This window comes from Homo sapiens, chromosome 9 (genome assembly GCF_000001405.40).
Source record: "Homo sapiens chromosome 9, GRCh38.p14 Primary Assembly".
Lineage (NCBI taxonomy): Eukaryota > Metazoa > Chordata > Mammalia > Primates > Hominidae > Homo > Homo sapiens.
The window spans coordinates 16421823-16440249 of NC_000009.12; the positions used below are offsets into that span (position 1 = coordinate 16421823).

Below are 18427 nucleotides of genomic sequence, written 5' to 3' on the forward strand. Positions count from 1 at the left end.
AAAACTATCTGCCAACTATGAGCAGCTCATGAAATCCTACCCGTTTATTATTTTTAACACCCTCCCCCTTTCTTAATTTCACGAGCACACATTTTGCGATGACTGTAATCTAGAACTCTGTTGCTTCTCACACATCTGCAGTTACCACTTCCTAGGTTCACTGCTGAGAAAACAGCAGCCAGACACACAGCAGTTGCATCAAGACACACTGAATAAGGAAGAATAAATTAACATTGAGAAAAGGACACACTGATCACCCAGATGGACACATCTTCCCTAAGATGACTTGTGAAATTACACATCTCCACCAATATGTTACCAGAAAGAGATTTTCTCTTCATTTCTCACTTACAGCAGTAGAAATCTGTAATCTAATTAGACGATGTACCAGCCCTCAATATCTGTCAACCAAACGATGTGCAGAAATGTGTAGACCAGCTCTGGCACTCTGTTCAACAGTGTCCCTTTTCCGCTGTCAGCAGTACTGTTGGCCTCTGCTAATATAATTACATTGACTTTTATTCAATTAAGTGCCATCCCTCACTTTAAAAAAAACAGCTACTTTATCAATTGATTCAGGTGTAATGCAATAATAAAGATGAACTCATGGCAGTGCATTAGCTCTGCTCTTCATAACTTCAGTACACGGGTTCATTCATGGTAGTCGATTTCCATTATGCAACCACAGTTCAAGAGAATTGATTCTTTTACGTTCAATTCCTAATCTATTTCATTTTTGTTTAATAATCCTCCTAAATGCCATATGCAAAACACTTGAAGTGGAGATGGGAAGGATGGACTGAGGAAAGTCTGCTGTTCACTCTCATGATAGTGGGCTTGAAGATTTTCTCACAAACTCACACAGTATTCCTAAGGTGGAAGGAAGGAAAGCACGAGAAGGAAAGCAGACTAAAATTCTTTAGAGGGTACCGATCCTACCCAAGAGGTTACGGTTCAGTCTCCAAAGAAGGGACAAAAGACAGCACTTGATTTTAACAAAGACCTATTGTTGGACTCTTGAATCAGTCAATCCAGACCATTAGCTGTCATAAAATACTGTCCTCATGAGACACAAAGACCTAGGGTTAATAGCAATTTGAGGACTATTACAAGTTTATCCGGATCAGCAAAACTGAAGAGGTGAAAAGAGAAGTTGGGAGAGACACAGAAAGAACTCTCACCTACTGATAATCAGATGTCGAGAGAAGACCCTAAAATGGCAGGAAGGCCAGAGAGTGCTGGAAACAGGAGGGGGACTCCCTGGCAGAGGAAGCCCTACTCAGTTGTATGTAACAATTGGAACAAAGAATCCAACAAGGAACCAATTTTGAGCTCTCCAGCGACAGAGATGGTTTTTCTAGAAACAGATTTAGTGTTCTGAATATTTATCTCTAGGAAAGAGGGAAGAATACTCAATAACAAATATCTAAGACTGTATTAGAACTTCTTACATTCTATAAGAACATGAACAGTAGAAAGGTTGTTTCTACTTGCTTTGATTTGGAAGGCAAGAAAGATATATGGAAGGAAGTTCCTCTTACAGAAAAAAAGTGACTGGAATGCAGAGAGAAAATGAGTTCATAGGTATAAGGGGTAAGGACTTGGTCTTAAGAAGTGCAGTGGTAATCATTAAGGCAGTGGTCCAAACCTTAGCCCCAGACGTTCACTTTCAAGAACATAACTAAATCTTACTCAATCTTATGTGTCCTGCACGTAAAGTAGAATACTTTGCACAGAGGAGGTACTTAAAAGTACATTGGTTTCCCTTCCATCAATAATATGCATGAGTCTTCAAAAAGTATTTCCCAAAATACACTGTAGAAGGGAAGAAAGCAATGATCCCAAGGTAGGACTCATGTAACAGAATATCCAAGGAAAGGTGGTGGCGACAAAACAAACGGTGATCCTGACGCTATTAATACCATAGTATGTTATAAGGGAATGCCACAAAATTAGGGCTTGAAAAAGCCCTGTAACTTGGGCTATGCTTGGAACTACAAATGCTTCCTTTAAACCTCTGTACTCTTTCTATACTGTGAATCTACCAAAAGCTTGTTAAAGACCAATATCACCCTTAAAAGCAAAAAGTTACAAAACCTTGGACTGAGGGGAGGGTGCTGCAGAACCAAACTTCCTTCTTCTTTGAAATGCTGAGTGGAAGTACTCTAACTGGACTAAAGTGGACTACCAGTCTTTTTCTGTTCCTTTGATGAAAACTTTACCATGCAACCACAGAAGACATGAAATCCATCAAACGTAGTCAAGTAAGTGCAAATGCCCTTTAGAGAGAAAGCAAGTCTTGCCTTGGACTTCTCTTTTCTCATCACATTAAGTTAGATTTAATGTGATGTCTGGCCCATAAAACTAAAAACAAAAACACTATCTAAAGAAAGTGTTTTGAGGTTTTAAACTTGGCTTTAAGATATCGGGGAGACACGAAAAAGAAAAAAAAAAAAAACAAGTTGCATGACCAAATTAGAAAGTAAGACTGTGGCAGTCAGAGACTGAATAATGAACCAAGCTATAGGTTGCATGAAGTGTCTTAATTCTTAATCAGATTTGAGACATTCTGAACTTGGTGAATTGAAACAAAATACTTAATAATTAATTAGAATGCCTCAAGGGAAAAATAACTGAGGCCCCACTTTGGATTAGTTTTTGCCTTTATTTTCCAGCTCAACTCTGCCGTTCAACACACACATTCACAAATTCTCAAATGATATTGTACAGAATGATCATAACAACATATACATAGCGTAACAATAACATATACATACCATATGCATGCCTATTTGTCTGTATGTATGTGTGTACATATATGTATATGGGGAGAATGGGAGAGAGAGAGATAAATTTATATCCAATCTGGGTAAGTCTAGATGCTAGGGTTAAGTACATTGTAAGACTACTGAGTCAACAATACTTTTGAGTAGAAATGTAAACCTGCTATCAAAATCCACAGAAATGAAAAATTAAAACTTCTGCCTTCATTAGTCCTTTTCTTATCTGGATTGCTACAACACTATCTATTACACTTACCTCAACATTTTTGTATTATCATTTATTAACGATAGGATGCTTATGGCTCTGTGCACAAAATGATACTTTTGACACTATACCTTTCTGTAAAATTAGTAGTTGTTCTACAGGTTATTATTTAAAGATTCTGTCCAAAAGATCTGAAAACCATCCCCTAGCTCAGGAAGAAAATTCAATGTGAAATTCTAGTGGGTAACACTCAAAAAGCCCCAAATGTAAGGAAGTACATATTAAATGCAAGAAACAAAATCTAAGCAAATTCTTGCAAATTAAAAGTATGAAACTCAGTCATTTCAACCCCTTTCAATATAAAACAAATCATCCATACTAGTCACGCAGACAGTTTCCTCTACATTCAAATTATTCACTTGAAGATAAGCTCCTACCAAACTCTTTAGGGGTTTAGCTAATTTACTGCACAGATACGGCACGTCTGTTGTAATAACAGGTAGGATGTATTGGGGTCGACCATTTATCAGAATTAGACTTCTTTTCTCAATTCACAGTGAATTATGCTGCCTACACGACTCCCCTCTCTCAGAGCCTGCCATCCCCGTATGGCCCCTAATGTGGCAGGCAGACAAAATTGACAGTCTCATCTTGTCAACAAGGGGCGATTCTCCTGAGAAGCCATTTAACTTTGCAGGGGAAGCAATGTATTAATGTGCTTGTCCCAGGAATGTTAATCATCTTCAAGCTTCCGATCTAACTTTGACGTGAACGAAATCACCAAATTTGTTTACTAAATGAATCGTAATATGCTAATAAGAAAGCATGACATATATGGAAAAGCCAAACAGATGGTTTGTTTACTCCACTTTGCAACTTTATAAATGTTGTAACTCTGAAGACGTTAGTGAGAATTATTGGTTTGTTGGCAGAGGCAAACATGTCTTTCGCATACTAAATCTGGCCCTACAGTTAGAAAACAATTTGTCATTGCTGTGGAATGCATAAAAAATGTTAATGTAGTGATGGCATTTGGGAAGGCAGATTGGTAGATGGAAAATGTGTAGCTGGATGCACAGGTTAAGTGTAGAATTGATATCCAGCAGCCCCATTCCCTAACCATTTTACTTTTGAGTTGTATCTGAGACATCGAGGCTTCTCAAGGGTGCTGATTATTCAATAGGTACCTGTTGCGCTGTAATGTGAGATGAGTGTTACACTGTGAACAGGATTATGTTTTCACAGCATTTGGAAGTGTTCTCAATCAAGCAGCTCATATGGTGCTCAGTTTACTACTATTGTTGGGTAAGAAAAAGCAAAGCCATGAGCCCTGGCATCTTTTAAGGACTTACTGAGAATAAATCTGAGCTTTGAGTTTTATATTTACACTGGACAAATTAACCCTCAAGCTTTCCATTCCTTGTTTTATATAGCCTTACTTTATAAAGATTTTAGAAGATATATTTCCAAAATAATAGGAGCTAATTTTTACAGGCATGTGCCACCATGCCCAGCTTTTTTTTTTTTTTTTGTCAGTATAGATGGGTTTTTGCTATGTTGGCCAGGCTGGTCTTGAACTCCTGGCCTCCAGCAATCTGCCTGCCTCAGCCTCCCAAAGTGCTGGAATTACAGGTGTGAGCCACCACACCCAGCCTAAAATGGTTAATTTATGATCTTCTTAAAAGGTAACAGTCAGGATGCATGAGTTCCCCAAGGGAGGTGACACTATTTTGTAGGACAATCAATATTAGTATTTAGCTATGGCTTTATCTAGAATTCTGTGTTGAAAATGAAACTAATAAAGACACCTGAACAAAAAGAGTGAGCATAATCTAATTTACAACTTTGATTAAATGTCAAAACTACCAGCCAAAACATGAAAACTTCATTTAACCAACCAGCAATGCATGCATGCTACTAAATGTTTTAATATTTAGAAACGGATGATTTTTGTGAAGTTCTTTTTACTTTTTATTTGCACAGGCAGAGTCTGAAATGCAGGATTTTGTATTAAAGAAGTACTTATTCCCTCTGATGTTATTAACCACTCCCAACATCCCAGTCATACAGATACATGTTGAGACTACCACTAATCTTGTGGGATTTCCTGGTGTATCACCATATAGCACTGAACTTTTTACCCGAGAAATGAGAGAGCAAAGTGATCTAAAGAAACCACTGAGTTCATCTTGCTGCCCAAGGATCACTTTGAAGCAAGAAGCATTAGCAACTGTTCCAGCCTGGTGCTTATATCTCATTTGAAACATCTCATTCCTGACCAACAAAGAAAATTTCAATAAAGTACTTTTACTGATTTAACAACAGTGAGCCCTTGGGATTGTCAAAGTGCTAAGCCTTTTCCAAGGAGAGAAGAAATCAGCAGCTCAAATATAATTAACCTTCCATTCTCAATGCAAACTGCCACGCATAGGAGCTCTGCAGTCTATTAGTGAAGTTATAATGGCCAACAGGCAGAAGCAAAATTGGTCAAAAAGTTGGCTGCTGCTGTCATATTTTTGGAATTATGATTAATGGCACTAATAATGTGGATGATTACTGATATGTGTGTTTCCAGCAGTTTATCATATTGCTTTGGCTGCCTACGTCCACAATAAACAGGATACTATCATTTACCTCTTTATTGAAGGCAATCCTTCTCTTGAAGGAGCATATTCTAATTACTTCGTAATGTTTTATGTCTTAAACATTTTGCAGCTCTGGACCTTGCCAACTGCTTCGTGTCTACCATTGATTAATTACTGAATGTTTAATCAAAATTTAGAAACTAATGTAGTCATTTATGAGCACATTGCAGTGCCAAAGTAGTTAGGCTTTGCTCCCAAGTTTGGAGAGTGTTGGGTTCAAAATCAAATCCCAGTCACGCATGAGGATCCAAGAATTTCACCTTGGGTGCTCTGAGGTTGCCAATTCCATCTCTGCTGATGAATGGAAGGTAATCTAACTACAGGGTAAACAGCATCTTTACCTACCCTCTCTTCACTGGATTTCCCTTTCCTCTTTCCTCAGTTCCCTAATCAACCGAGCACCACTGTCAGCTGTTGCTGAGAACAAGAAAGTCCTCGTGAACACCCGTCATGAGAATATAGTTTTGAAGTGGTTAAACAAGTGAAAAATAATTTGCTGGGACAAATACATAAGTTTTTTTTAATGTGGATTTTTTATGGTACTGTCATACAACCATTCACCATTGAAGTTAAGTGTTTTTTTAATACCATTACTGAACTGCTGAAATGGATGCTAATATAGCTTGGAGTGCTAATGTCAAGTCCTGGTAATAAAAAAGACAGACTGCTGAATGAAATAATTTCAAGTAAAAAATAGAACAAAAGTGCTCTCTCTCTTGCTCTCCACTTTTATTGAATTGGGACTGACTGAGCCAATTGCTTTAGAAGTCTGTAAAACACAATTACGAGTGAGCGAACTGACCCACCAGTGCCCCCTCAGTGACAGAGCAGACTAAAAAGGCAGCAGAGTTAGAGCGGCTCCCCTCCACTGCCCATCAGACCTACAGGGCTTCCAGCTGCAGGTCTGTGGTTCTTGGTGCCCAAATGGGTCTTGTTTTACTTACGAAATCTTATTTCCCATCAATGTGATAAAGTTACTTCATACATCACTTTCCGAGATGTAGATGTCTATTCTGGCAATTAAGAATGATCTGTCTTTTGATATTCTTATTTATGTGGATGTTTATGTGTAAACACACATATACATTACGTGGATGAATTTAGATTAGAACATTAGCACAATTTTTGAGTGGCTGGTAATAATTCAGATTGATATATGCAATAGCAATACCGAGGCATCGCTTACATATATTCTGTTAGAAACACTTGTCTTTTTTTTTCTTTCCTAAGGTAAAGTCAAAATTAGAGCAAGCAACAAAAAGAATTAAACTAGAAGTGGGTAACATTTTTCCCCCTAGTTAATAAAAGAAGTAATAAACTCTATAAAGTACTAGAGTTAGGATCACTAACACTTTAGGTGTAACAGCTTTTTACCAGGAATTTACAACTCCTGTTTTAATTCAAGCAGCTTGCATTAGGACATAAAATCTAGGTATATTTTAAAAGTGTAGTTTTATGTGAAATAACTGAAGAAAAATTGTCCTTTCCTAAAAAGTATTCTTTCTTCCTCGGTCTTAGCTTGCCTGCCTCTCCCTCATACACATATCTTGGCACTCAAGAATCAAAGTTACCAAATCCCTCTTTTATGACATTGCAATTTTTTGGCAAGGACAAGCTTCTTTCCAATTCTGCCACATTCATTTATTTGAAGCTTGTGGGAGTCTTATGGCAAGCACATTATTTCTGAGAAGGCTTTAAAAAAAGAAAAAAAATGCTTCATGGCTAAACCTTCACTATGGCATTTAGGCAAAGAAGGTATCCCTTCCTCTTAGTACAACCACGAATGATCACTTACAGCAAAAGAGTTGATAGCAGCCTTTCATCTAAGACAAAACGGAACTTACCTGAGTTATACAAGTGAATGTTAACGTACATGTACAGTCTTACCACCCTCTTCTGGGTAGAAACCAGCCCATGTTTTTTAAAAAGAAAAGATGGGCTACAAAAATGAGCATCTCAAATAAATGGTTAAATATAAGAAAGATTCACACCAATAAAGTCTGTGAGAAGGTCAGATAGATTCTGAGGGAGGTGGAAATCAGGAAGACCCTTTCAAAGTGGTCTCTTCATGAAAAATACCACCGGTGCACTCAGTATGTGCATTCTGCTCAGATATTTTGGCCTGAATTTTCAAGATAATGCTGGCAAGAACAGTAGATTGTTCCTTTATAAGGAAGGTAAAAATAAGAGTTATATAGAAGCATTGTATTTGTGCAACAGAGGTTATAATGCCACAAGAGACTTAATGTTAACTCTCATCAATAGAAATTTGTAAAAATCTCTTTGCATCATGAAAAGGAAATCATTCGTCAGCCATGAAGCTTTGTGGTCTATTTGGTGCACAGTTCTGAAGACGGTGGAAATGAGTGGTGCAGTTCTTGTAGTGGAGGAGTGAAAGGTCAGCAGAGGCTTAAACGAGCTTGTCTTGCATCCAGCTGGGCCAGCAGGAGGTCATTAGGAAGATCCGAGGCTCACTTTAGGCTTGACAGAGTCTCTCCCCATGATACAAGGAGACCGTTTTGCTCATTGCTCTTCTCCCAGTATCTAAAAAGAACCCCAGGGACAGGAATGACACTGAAGTTTATCTTACTACCAAAGTTTTGCTTGAGGAGGGCACAACTAGCAATTACTCAGGAGGGGGATGTATTTTGTGTGTTTGCTTCTGATGGAAAGTAATGGAAGATAAGTACAAAAGGTCTATTGATCTTGCTCTATTGTGAAACCAAATAGAGTAGCAGGGAAAAAAAAAAAACTCTTCCTTAACATTTAGAAGTCAGAGGACCTGCACAACTTCATGTTGTAAGAGAATTTTAGAAATGGAGACTTGTAGTTTGATTGGCAATGAAATGAAACAGCTAATGCTTTAAAATGTTCTCCTCTTTTACTTGGAGGGGATTACCACATCGTATTTGACAGCTAATTATATTAGGGCAAATATACTAATAGTTATCTTGAATTGGTGCTAAGTGGCTCATTTCTTAGAGGTATTGCCTGGTGAAATCATGTGTATTTACTGAAAAGCCCTCCCTAGAAAAAGTTCTGTATAAGTTTCCAAACATAGAGAATGATGGAAAAAATGGTTGTTGCTATGCTGAGAAGGTGGTAACAGGAGGCAGGTAACATGTTTTCGCATCTTCACCTCTGTCGTTAATGTATGCAGTGGCTCATCAGAGGTAGCTCATGTTAATTTATTCCTGCACACCTGTACAGGGCTGGAAGTCAGGTAATCAGACAAGCTAATACTATACATTTCTGCTTTTTAGCTACCGCTAACCCAGAGGCCTACAAAGGAACAAATTTAGTTCTGGAGACATCAGCAGGTTTTAATACATCAAATACACATGTCTTCCGCCATAGGAATACAGAACTTTCCACATTTAGATGTGGACTGATCAAACTAGCAATCGAATGGAAGGTTCACACTTGACACCAATGGTTACCTCATATTTATTTATAAATCACCCTCAGCAAATATAATTTGGTCTTTAAATTTATTCATATGGCTAAATCATCTTTCTACAACTTGAAGATCAAGCATATATGCTTACCTTTCAGATGAAATTTAAGACAAACCTTGACAACTACTGGCCACTACTCTGAGAAGAAGAAAGGAACAAAGATAGTAAAACTCATGTAGGATGAAAAAGAGACAATGACTTCTTACTATACAGATCATCTAGTTTCTGAGTACAAAGTCTTCATTTTAGATGGAATTTTAGAACTGCCAATCATTAAGACAAATATAAATAGATTTTAACATATGAGCCAATGATAAGAAATATTAGGAAACAGAACAGAGGGTATTTGTTATTTTTCTTCCTGAATAAAAACCAAATGCAACTTATAAATAGGCTTCCCTTCAAAATGGGTGACCTATGCCACTCAGCTCCTGGGGATCAAAAATCAAGTCAGAGTATGAGAAATGATGAAAGGTAAATTACACCCACCAGCTAATTCTGACTATCACGCTCTCTTCAAGAGAATCTCCCGTATGAAGACAGCAGGTTCCAGGCCGGTTAGAATTTCCTCTTCCTAGGAAAGATTTCATATGTATACTTCATAATGGAGGGGCAGCCTCCTGTTCCTTAACAGAACAGCACCTCAGCAGCAGACAGATCAAGGGATAAACAAGAAGGAGGAAAGGGTCTTTAGAGACTTTCAAAATCTAACACTACACCTTGCTATCAGGATATACTTGAAGACTTCAGCAGTCACCTTAGAGCAGCAGTCCCCAACCTTTTTGGCACCAGGGACCACTTTCATGGAAGACAATTTTTCCACAGATGTGAGTAGGGGGTATAGTTTTGGGATGATTCAATGATTCAGGCACGTTACATTTATCATTAGATTCTCATAAGGAGTACGCAGCCTAGATCCCTCACATGCACATTTCACAATAGGGTTTGCACTCCTGTGAGAATCTAATGCCACCACTGACAGGAGGTGGAGCTCAGGCAGTAATGCTCACCCACCCACCACTCACCTCCTGCTGTGCAGCCTGGTTCCTAACAGGCCATGGACCAGTACTAGTCTGCAGCCCCGGGGTTGGGGACCCCTGCTTTAGAGCATCAGAGTTCTTTACAGAGAAAATTCTTTACATTTCACTTCTATCACTCAGAATAAAAATTATTCTAACAGCTACCTAGTAACAAAGATGAATCAGATTTTGTGTGTATTAGCTTGCTCTTTGTCAGTGTGGAATGGTCCTCTTGGCTTCTGAATTTGTTAAACACACACTCATTTACAACTATATAGAAAAGAATAGCTTTGACACTGTTGCTTGGAATCTTCAGCCCTAACAAATCTTGCATGTGTCTCTCCCCTTCCTCTGTGTCACTTTACACAAAGAGCATTCTTGCTTTTGAAAAATCTTCAACTTGATCTTATAAAATCTAGAAGGACCATAAACAAAGACCTGGAAATCTTTGCTAATTAACTGCCAAACCTAAAAGACACTATTTAACATCTTTCTGCTTTCCATCTTACTAACATGCCTATCTGGAGACCAAAAATGCAACTACCTCATGTATAACCACTTTGGGAGAAGCCCAGGCAGACCTGTGTAAAACTCCTCCAAGGTGTTCGAATCATGAAGAAGTCTGCTTTCGTAAACAGAAGGAAGAGGGCAATTCTGTTAGCTTTATGACAGGAATCCTAGAAACCCTATAGCCCTGCACACTTCAGCCCCCACTCAAAATCCCCTCTAATGCTTTATTTGCACAAGGAAGACATTGTGGAGTCAAGGATGGATGAAACTGAGACTCTGGGGAGAGGAAAGAAATGGGCCTGAGGACAGCAGGATTAAAGACAAAGGAGGGTTTCTGTTTGAGAAGGTCTGTTGGCTCAAGAAAAAGGTAAGAAAACTTGTCTTAGCTTCACAGCAAATTAAAAGGGAAAAACCAAGGAGATAAAATTCCTGGGGTTCTCGTGACTAACAAAGTAAAAGTGAAGAGACAGGAGAAGGTAAGTCTAAGAGACAGATCAGAGATGTAATCCAAGAGGCTTTGTGAATAATGAGATTAAATCACAGGTTGACATTCATTGACAAAATAACAATAAAAGGCTAAAACAGGAATACAATTATGTTTCACAGTTCACTCTGCTGAGCTGCAGGAAGAGGCAGGCACCCCAATGGCATCACTGGTTATTTGGTGTAGCTAAACTCATAACATTATATTAATTCAAGTCATAGACTCAACCAAGATGAACACTTTTCTTAAGAAAATATAATGTCAAAATTAAAGTATCAGAACTTGTGTGTTTCTAACCTAAGATCAAAAGAGTTGCATATTGTTAAAAAGCAAAATTTCAAGTGAGAATAAAAAAAGTTTTTATTCTACAATGTTTGCAATTTGCTTTTTCATTTATCTTATGTGACAAAGCTCCAAAATGAAAAAGACTGGGCATACTGTGATTTCAGCCAAATGAAATGTATCAACTGTCTTCTGAAGCTTGCTATCTTCTATGTGACTGAACACCCTGGGAGCACATCTGTACTCTTCTTCCCACCTAGAATATCCTCGTCATCCTAGACGCGGGTCTAAACGTATATATGGCTAGTCACTCACTAAAATCCTGATACCTACAATAAAAATGAAGACTGAAATATTTTCCTGCTATCAATAAATGTTTTTCCTCAGATAAACCAACAAGCAGTACCTCAACAGTGCCTCCCTATGTGTTAAGACATAAATATACAAGCGCTTGCGTTTTCTAGGAATTTTACATAAATGAAGGCTTCAAACACTGGGTGTGTAGCCTTTTGGTCTCACAGCTATTTATTCCAGTGCTGTGACTTGCAATATTTTCAGCAAACCAACTAAAACTGTGACAGGAATTCATGCAATTAAGCTTAAATTTTGGCTTGTCTTCAAACACTCCATTTCCATAAATATTTTATGCAGGTTTTCATGAGTCTTTTATTTTTGTTTAAAAAAATACAATGCATTAACCTCGTTATTAGTAGTGTACTATCTCAAATTTAAAAGAATGAATATTACTGACAACTTGGAGGAGGTTGGGTACAGTATTTTATTATTCAAAATATAGCTATCTTATCTGATGCATTCTGGGACTGTCAATGATAACTTGGAACTGAAATAACGTTGTGACTATAAACCATGTTTACAGAACAAAGTAAATGGGGGTGGGAAAATCATTAAAAAAATGGTTTCTCCTCAAACCATGTTTTGGGTTGTATAAGAAAGTTACTTATTTTTCTTAAATATTTTGCTTTTCAAAGATTGGCCCCCTTTTATTTCAGTAGAAAGGAAAAAAATATTCTTCAAACTTTTATTTTAAAAAGGATTGATCTCCAAATATGAAGACAAAACTGAATATTCCAGGGACAGGACACTACTTTTCAGTGGTACTTTTAATGTTACTTTGCCAAAGAACTCTACACAATTGACAAGCACTAGAATTACTGCTTACTATTGGTGGCTCTGTAGAAACTTTCTAGTTAATTTTAATGTGTTTCTTCCATTGATTTCCACCATGTTATAAAATTTTCTCTAAAATATTTTTAGAAGACAATGTAGAACCAAAAACCGCATCTGATATAATGGGAATAACTAACTGCTGTGTGACCCGAGTTGGGCTGGTGGTGTATTATGTACGTGATCTGCTCACAAGCTTATCTGAACAAATGCAGGATAACCGCACTATCCTGCCACTGACCACCTTGACACATTCCATTTATACTGCATTTTCTTGAGGATTAATAAAGAACCTTGTAGGTTTAGGACCATCTGCTTCTGCTTAAGCCCAACTGTTTCAGAGCTGCAACTACATAGCAAGAGTGTGATGTCATCTGAAGGCTGGACATAATATATTCGTGCTGATCCTCAAAGTATATGCATGCCTCCCCTTCTGTGCATAATCCGCATGGTAGACTATAGTTTAGAGATGTGCTCAAAGACATTATGAAGTTAAGATAAAGAAACCCACACGACCATACCATTTTCCCACATCAACAATTACATCTATCCCATTTCCTTCTGATATTTTCACAACTCTTAAAGAATTCAAGGACACACTAAATACTCATGTAAGGAATGATAACATTACTGGTTATACCTACGGAGATGCAGGCTGTCTCGATGTCCTGGACCTATGGTTCTTTCCATCCGTAAATTTCTGTTTCTATATTGGATAAATATGTGTGTATGAAGATAATATACTGATTTAATTAAAAAGCCACATGGCAAAGCAGAAATATAAATATATAAATATATATATAACAGAAGCTGTGGCTTCTAAGTGAAGGTTCACGGGGAAGCAGGGAACCGTGTACATAGTTAACTTATTCACACCTAGATGCATGAAAACACATACACACACGTATACACAGAGCACAGAGAAAAATGGCGTGCATTACGGGTAAGATGGCACATGATTCTGCATGCTTAATCATCACAAGCACCAACTGCAACAATCCTTCATGAGCATGGCAGCCTAGTTATCACATGATCACTGTGGACAATCTTTACAGTGCACCAAAAACATCTAAGTTGGATTTCTTTTAGTGTGAAGTCCAACATGACTGAAAACTGGCACCCTCCACCCCCAGCAGGAGCAGCCAATGGAGATTTACTGACCTGTCTCGGCTTCGGCGAGAGGGGAATGCAGCATTGCAACCAGCCACTGTGCAGACGTGCATCTCTTTCAAGTGAACGTTCCTGTAGTGAAGTTTCACACTGTAGGAGCTTTTGAAACTCTTCTTGCACACATAACAGATTTTGGGGTCTGGGCTAGAACATAGGTCACCTTCTGGGGAGAACTTTTGAGGGCTGCCATAATTCAGAGACGATGTAAAGCTCTCATGCAAGGCGGCCATGCTGGCACCCCCACCATTGTACAGTCCATACTGGCTCATGTAAAACATGTCGTAAGTGGGGTCTGTAAATTCTTCCTTCACCTTGATGACGTCCTGGTGAGAGGGCTCACTGTGGTTCTCATCAGGCCTCTCACTATTCATCAGGACTTTTTCACTCACTTCGCTGTGAATGTGCTCATCCCCTTCCATGGATTCCTCGCCCAGTTTGGGCTCCGAAGACTCAGACTCGTTCTCATAGTCCCGCTCAGGTTCTTGGTCTTCAGAAGTCATGCTGTCGGCCCTCCTTATTTCAGTCCTTGAAATGCACCGGGTCCTGTTATGCTTAGAAAAGTCCTTCACAGACATGCCTGGGCTCATCTCCTCTTGGGAGTGACAATGATTGTCATGGCTCATGTCATTGACCACAGCTCCACCATCATTGGGGTCATCATCTTCATCATCAAACTCATCGGCGGTATCAATAATTTCCTTCTCAATCTTCACAGGCATGCTTGACTTCCTGGGCTTTTTCTTGGGTGCCAGGTCAGCACTGGGCTCATGGGTGGCCATCATCACTGCTGGCACTACTGGCTCAGAGGGTGGCGGGGGGTGCTGCTCTATGGTACCACTGGTTGGAATGATGGGACTGGTTGGGAGGGAGGTTGGAGGACTCACCATTTCCCCTGGAGTGAGTAAACTTCTATAAAATGGAGGAACTGGTTGTACAGTCTTTAGCCCAGAAAATACTAGCTGGCTAGGGAGAGGATTTTGCAAGACAGGGTCTAGAGGGGGAGTGGTAAAACCCATTGGGGGTCGGCCAGGGCTTGTGAGTGCCAGATTTGATTTTGTACTTGCTATGACAGGGGTGGCAGCTCCTGAGGTGGCCCGAATTAAATCTTTATCTCGGTTATTCCTTAGCATAGGCATGTGAAGGCGAGGATTGGGGTTTGCACTGTGGCGATTACGACTTCGGAGGGAGCTAAAGACCATGTTGCAACCTTCAATGGTGCATCGATGTTTGATCTTCAGGTGAACAGCATTGTAATGAATTTTGAGAGTACCTTTGTCATAGAATGTCTTCCCACATGCATTACAGAACACTCTTCCTTTCCTAGAGGCTGACCCCATCCTTCTCATCCGATGAATCCGGAATGAGCTTTTTGGGTGTTCAGTTTTGGTTAGATCACTGACTGGGGCAGAATTCTGAATGGGAGAGACACAGGCTGGCTCGGTTTTGGGCTCCACATTAGTAATGCTGGTCAGGGCATTTCTATTGGGTGTTTGATCATTCTTATAAGGTGTGGGAGAAACTTCGGATTCGCTGCTCTCATTATATTCATTCTGAGTTGAAAGGCTGGGTTCCCGCAGCCTCAACCCTGGTTGCTCTAACAGTAGCCCATTTGGAGGCAACCCTAGCAGTGGTGCTGAGACAGGGTTTATGTACTGGAATGGAAGCAGAAATGCAAGGCTGTTTGGGATGTTTTCGAAGTGATGAATGCTGGAAGGATTGCTGTTCTCTAAGTGAGCAAGGAGGCTGGGACTCCTGGTGCGATTATTGCTCTCAATGAAAGTCCTTATATCTGAGTCTGTCTTTGAAGATGGTACAGCCACGGCCTGCCCTTCTTTCTCCTGAATTGCCATCAGCTCCACAATGGATTTGGTTTCTCCAAACCGCAGAAACTGCTGAAGGGTGATGATTTCCTCTTCTCGAGACATGATGGCCCAGCGGTCCAGCACCTTGCCAGCAGCATCCTAGAGGCCACATCAAAGAAACAACAAAGACAAACACAAAAACTTATTGATTGTGCATAATTATTCAATGCAACTGAAGGTGCTCTGTGTGCTCATAAAACACTGAGCAAGAGCAGAAAACAACATGCAAGCACTGTTAATAAAAGTCAACCCACAAAGCAAACTTTTCTGCCATGCAAATGTAGTAATTAGAGTCACAGTTAGAGAAACAGATTGAGTTTAATAATGTCAAAGCAAACAAAATGTAGACCACTGGGGCTCTGTGATCTAAAATGCCTTCAGTACTGCTTTTTTAACAACAATGATCTATATACTATGCAACTATTTAGCATATATTAGTATAAGATGTGAACTCTTGCTGTGAAATCCAATATAAATGAAAAAAATGGTACCTTAGTCCTTATTAAATAGTGATACTATAGGAAGGAATTAAGTACTTCTTGTGAAATTTACTTCTTCAACATAAGCAGACATGACACTGGATTCAATGATGAAAATTCCTTTAAATAGGAGTTATGTGAATTTCTGAATCAAAAAGATGAATAAAGTAGCACTACCCCTCATACCTTGTTACTAAACTGTATCTTTTTTTTTTGAGTGGCTATATTTTAGTATCATTTAATAGCAGGCAATTTCATAAGGAAGAGTAAGAAAAACATCACTCATAAAAGGTAATTGTACTTTTCCTGAAAATTGGTTGTAATCCTATGATTCAAAGTTTGAGTTAGACTTAATGTATTTGACTTTTTATGATCTTGTTATAAATGACAGTCATAGATATTTAAAAAGTAAACATGTGATGGATTTAGACAGAATAAATGTGTAAAAAGTTGTCTCTCAGCATCCTCCTCTGATAGCAAAGGGAGTCCACAGAGAATACACATCAGTAATCACCAGACTATGTGTTGTTAAATATACATTAAAAAGCATTTCACACTTTCATTTTTGCCAGTAACTATGAGATTTGCCTGGAGGTAGGACTTTAAAATCCTGCAATGTAATGTCAGGCGATCCATTTCAGCATGGATTGAGAGAGATCTATTCAAACACTTAAATAATGACTCCATCACTTTCTAGGGCACCATTTCTTCCCATTGGGACAGCACACTTTGTATCCCTCTGTGAGTGACACTTGCCCTAACCCTGACCATGAATTTAAGAAAGCAAAGAATCTTCTTAAAAACAAAATGACAAGATACTTATTAATTACAAAGGGAAAATCATAACATTATCGCAAAAAACCTAACAGACCCTACCTTAAAAGGGTGATCGACGTTACCACCGTGAGTAGAAATCACGCCATCATGTTCCGCTTGTTAGGACACACTAAGAAGGGCACGACATCACTTTTGTGGCATTCTTCTAATGATATGGTTTGGCTGTGTCCCCACCCAAATCTCATCTTGAATTGTAGCTCCCATAATCCCCAAATGTCATGGGAGGGAGCCGGTGGAAGTTAGTTGAATCATGGGGGTGAGTCTTTCCCGTACTGTTCCTATGACAGTGAGTAAGTCTCATGAGATCTGATGGTTTATAAAGGGGAATTCCCCTGCGCATGCTCTTGCCTGCTTCCATGTAAGATGTGACTTTGCTCCTCCTTTGCCTTCTGCCATGATTGTGGGGCCTCCCCGGCCATGTGGAATTATGAGTCCATTAAAACTCTTTCCTTTATAAATTACCCAGTCTTGGGTATGTCTTTATTAGTACATGGGAATGGACAAACACATTGTAAAAATTTTACAACCTCAACTCAATCATCAGAAATCATCAGGCAAACCAAAATTGAGGGGCATTCTACAAAACAGTAGATAGTACTCTTCAAAGTGTAAAGTTCAGGAAAGATTTATAAAAAATGAAGAATGGTTCCAGATTAGAGGGGACTAATAAAAAATAATTGTGTGATCCTAGACCAGAAAAAAGACATTAGTGGGAAAATTAGCAACATTTGAATAAAGTCTCTAGATTAGCTAGTAGTAGTATACCCATCTGAATTTTCCGGTTTCAGCCACTGTGCTTTATGTAGGATGTTACACTAGGGGAAGCATGATGAGAGGCATAAGGGATCTGTACTGCTTTTGCAAGGGAAAAGTCTCTCCTCAACCTGTGGATGTAAAATTCTCTCTGAAACACTGCCCTATGGTCTGAATCATCACAGCTAGTTTGATTAAGTGGGTATTTGGCATTTACTTGAATTACTTTTTTAAAAAAGCTCTGATAGTTATGTGCCCCCCTTTGTAAGGCTCACTCCTAGCATCCTACCATTTTACATAAAGAATATGTGTGAGTACGTGCATGTGGGTGTCCATTCCTATGAAAACTGTCAAACACAGATGTCCCTCCTTCATCATGTAGATAGAATTGGCCTTCAGATCAAATACTCTTATACAACTATCTGCTCAGAAGAGTCACATAAGGGTGCAGGCACATGGCAACCCCAGATGATCCTGAAGTCCGGCCATCGCCATTTTCAAAACCTCACTCACAGCAGTTGGTATCATTCACATTCTGCTTTTGGAACAGGGGTAACATGGAAGAATGTTGGTGCTATAGGTAAATAGAGAAATAAGTTGTGACTTTAAATACATTATCTCATTTCACCCCTATCGTAACTTCCAGAGCTCAGAGAACAGATGAGAAATCAGGGGAGAAGAAAGCTAAGATAGGTTGTTAAGGCTGTCAAGATACTAATTGAAGGCCCAGGAGTTGAACACAAAAATTCTGACTC

The 18427-nt window shown here is 39.0% G+C and overlaps 1 protein-coding gene across 40 annotated transcripts in view, besides 1 other annotated feature; it reads right to left on the minus strand.

The window, feature by feature from the left end:
• BNC2 (basonuclin zinc finger protein 2) overlaps positions 1 to 18427 on the minus strand; it is a 461168-nt gene that overhangs the window by 12320 nt on the left and 430421 nt on the right. For 17 of the 40 annotated variants that reach the window (XM_047423506.1, XM_047423494.1, NM_017637.6 and 14 more), the window contains one exon: positions 13733 to 15702. In XM_047423506.1, coding sequence (XP_047279462.1) covers positions 13733 to 15702 — 1970 coding nt within the window. Of the gene's footprint in view, positions 1 to 9580; positions 9666 to 13211; positions 13278 to 13732; positions 15703 to 18427 lie in introns of all 40 variants that reach the window. The other 23 variants (XM_047423513.1, XM_047423515.1, XM_047423491.1 and 20 more) reach the window with 3 other exon arrangements.
• Positions 13439 to 14638: an enhancer, noted in NCBI's record as "MED14-independent group 3 enhancer chr9:16435259-16436458 (GRCh37/hg19 assembly coordinates)". NCBI's record gives its function as "activates an origin of replication core promoter dependent on BRD2, BRD4, P300/CBP and CDK7 cofactors, and independent of MED14, by STARR-seq in HCT116 cells {active_cell/tissue: HCT116}" and the evidence as "EXISTENCE:reporter gene assay evidence [ECO:0000049][PMID:35650434]".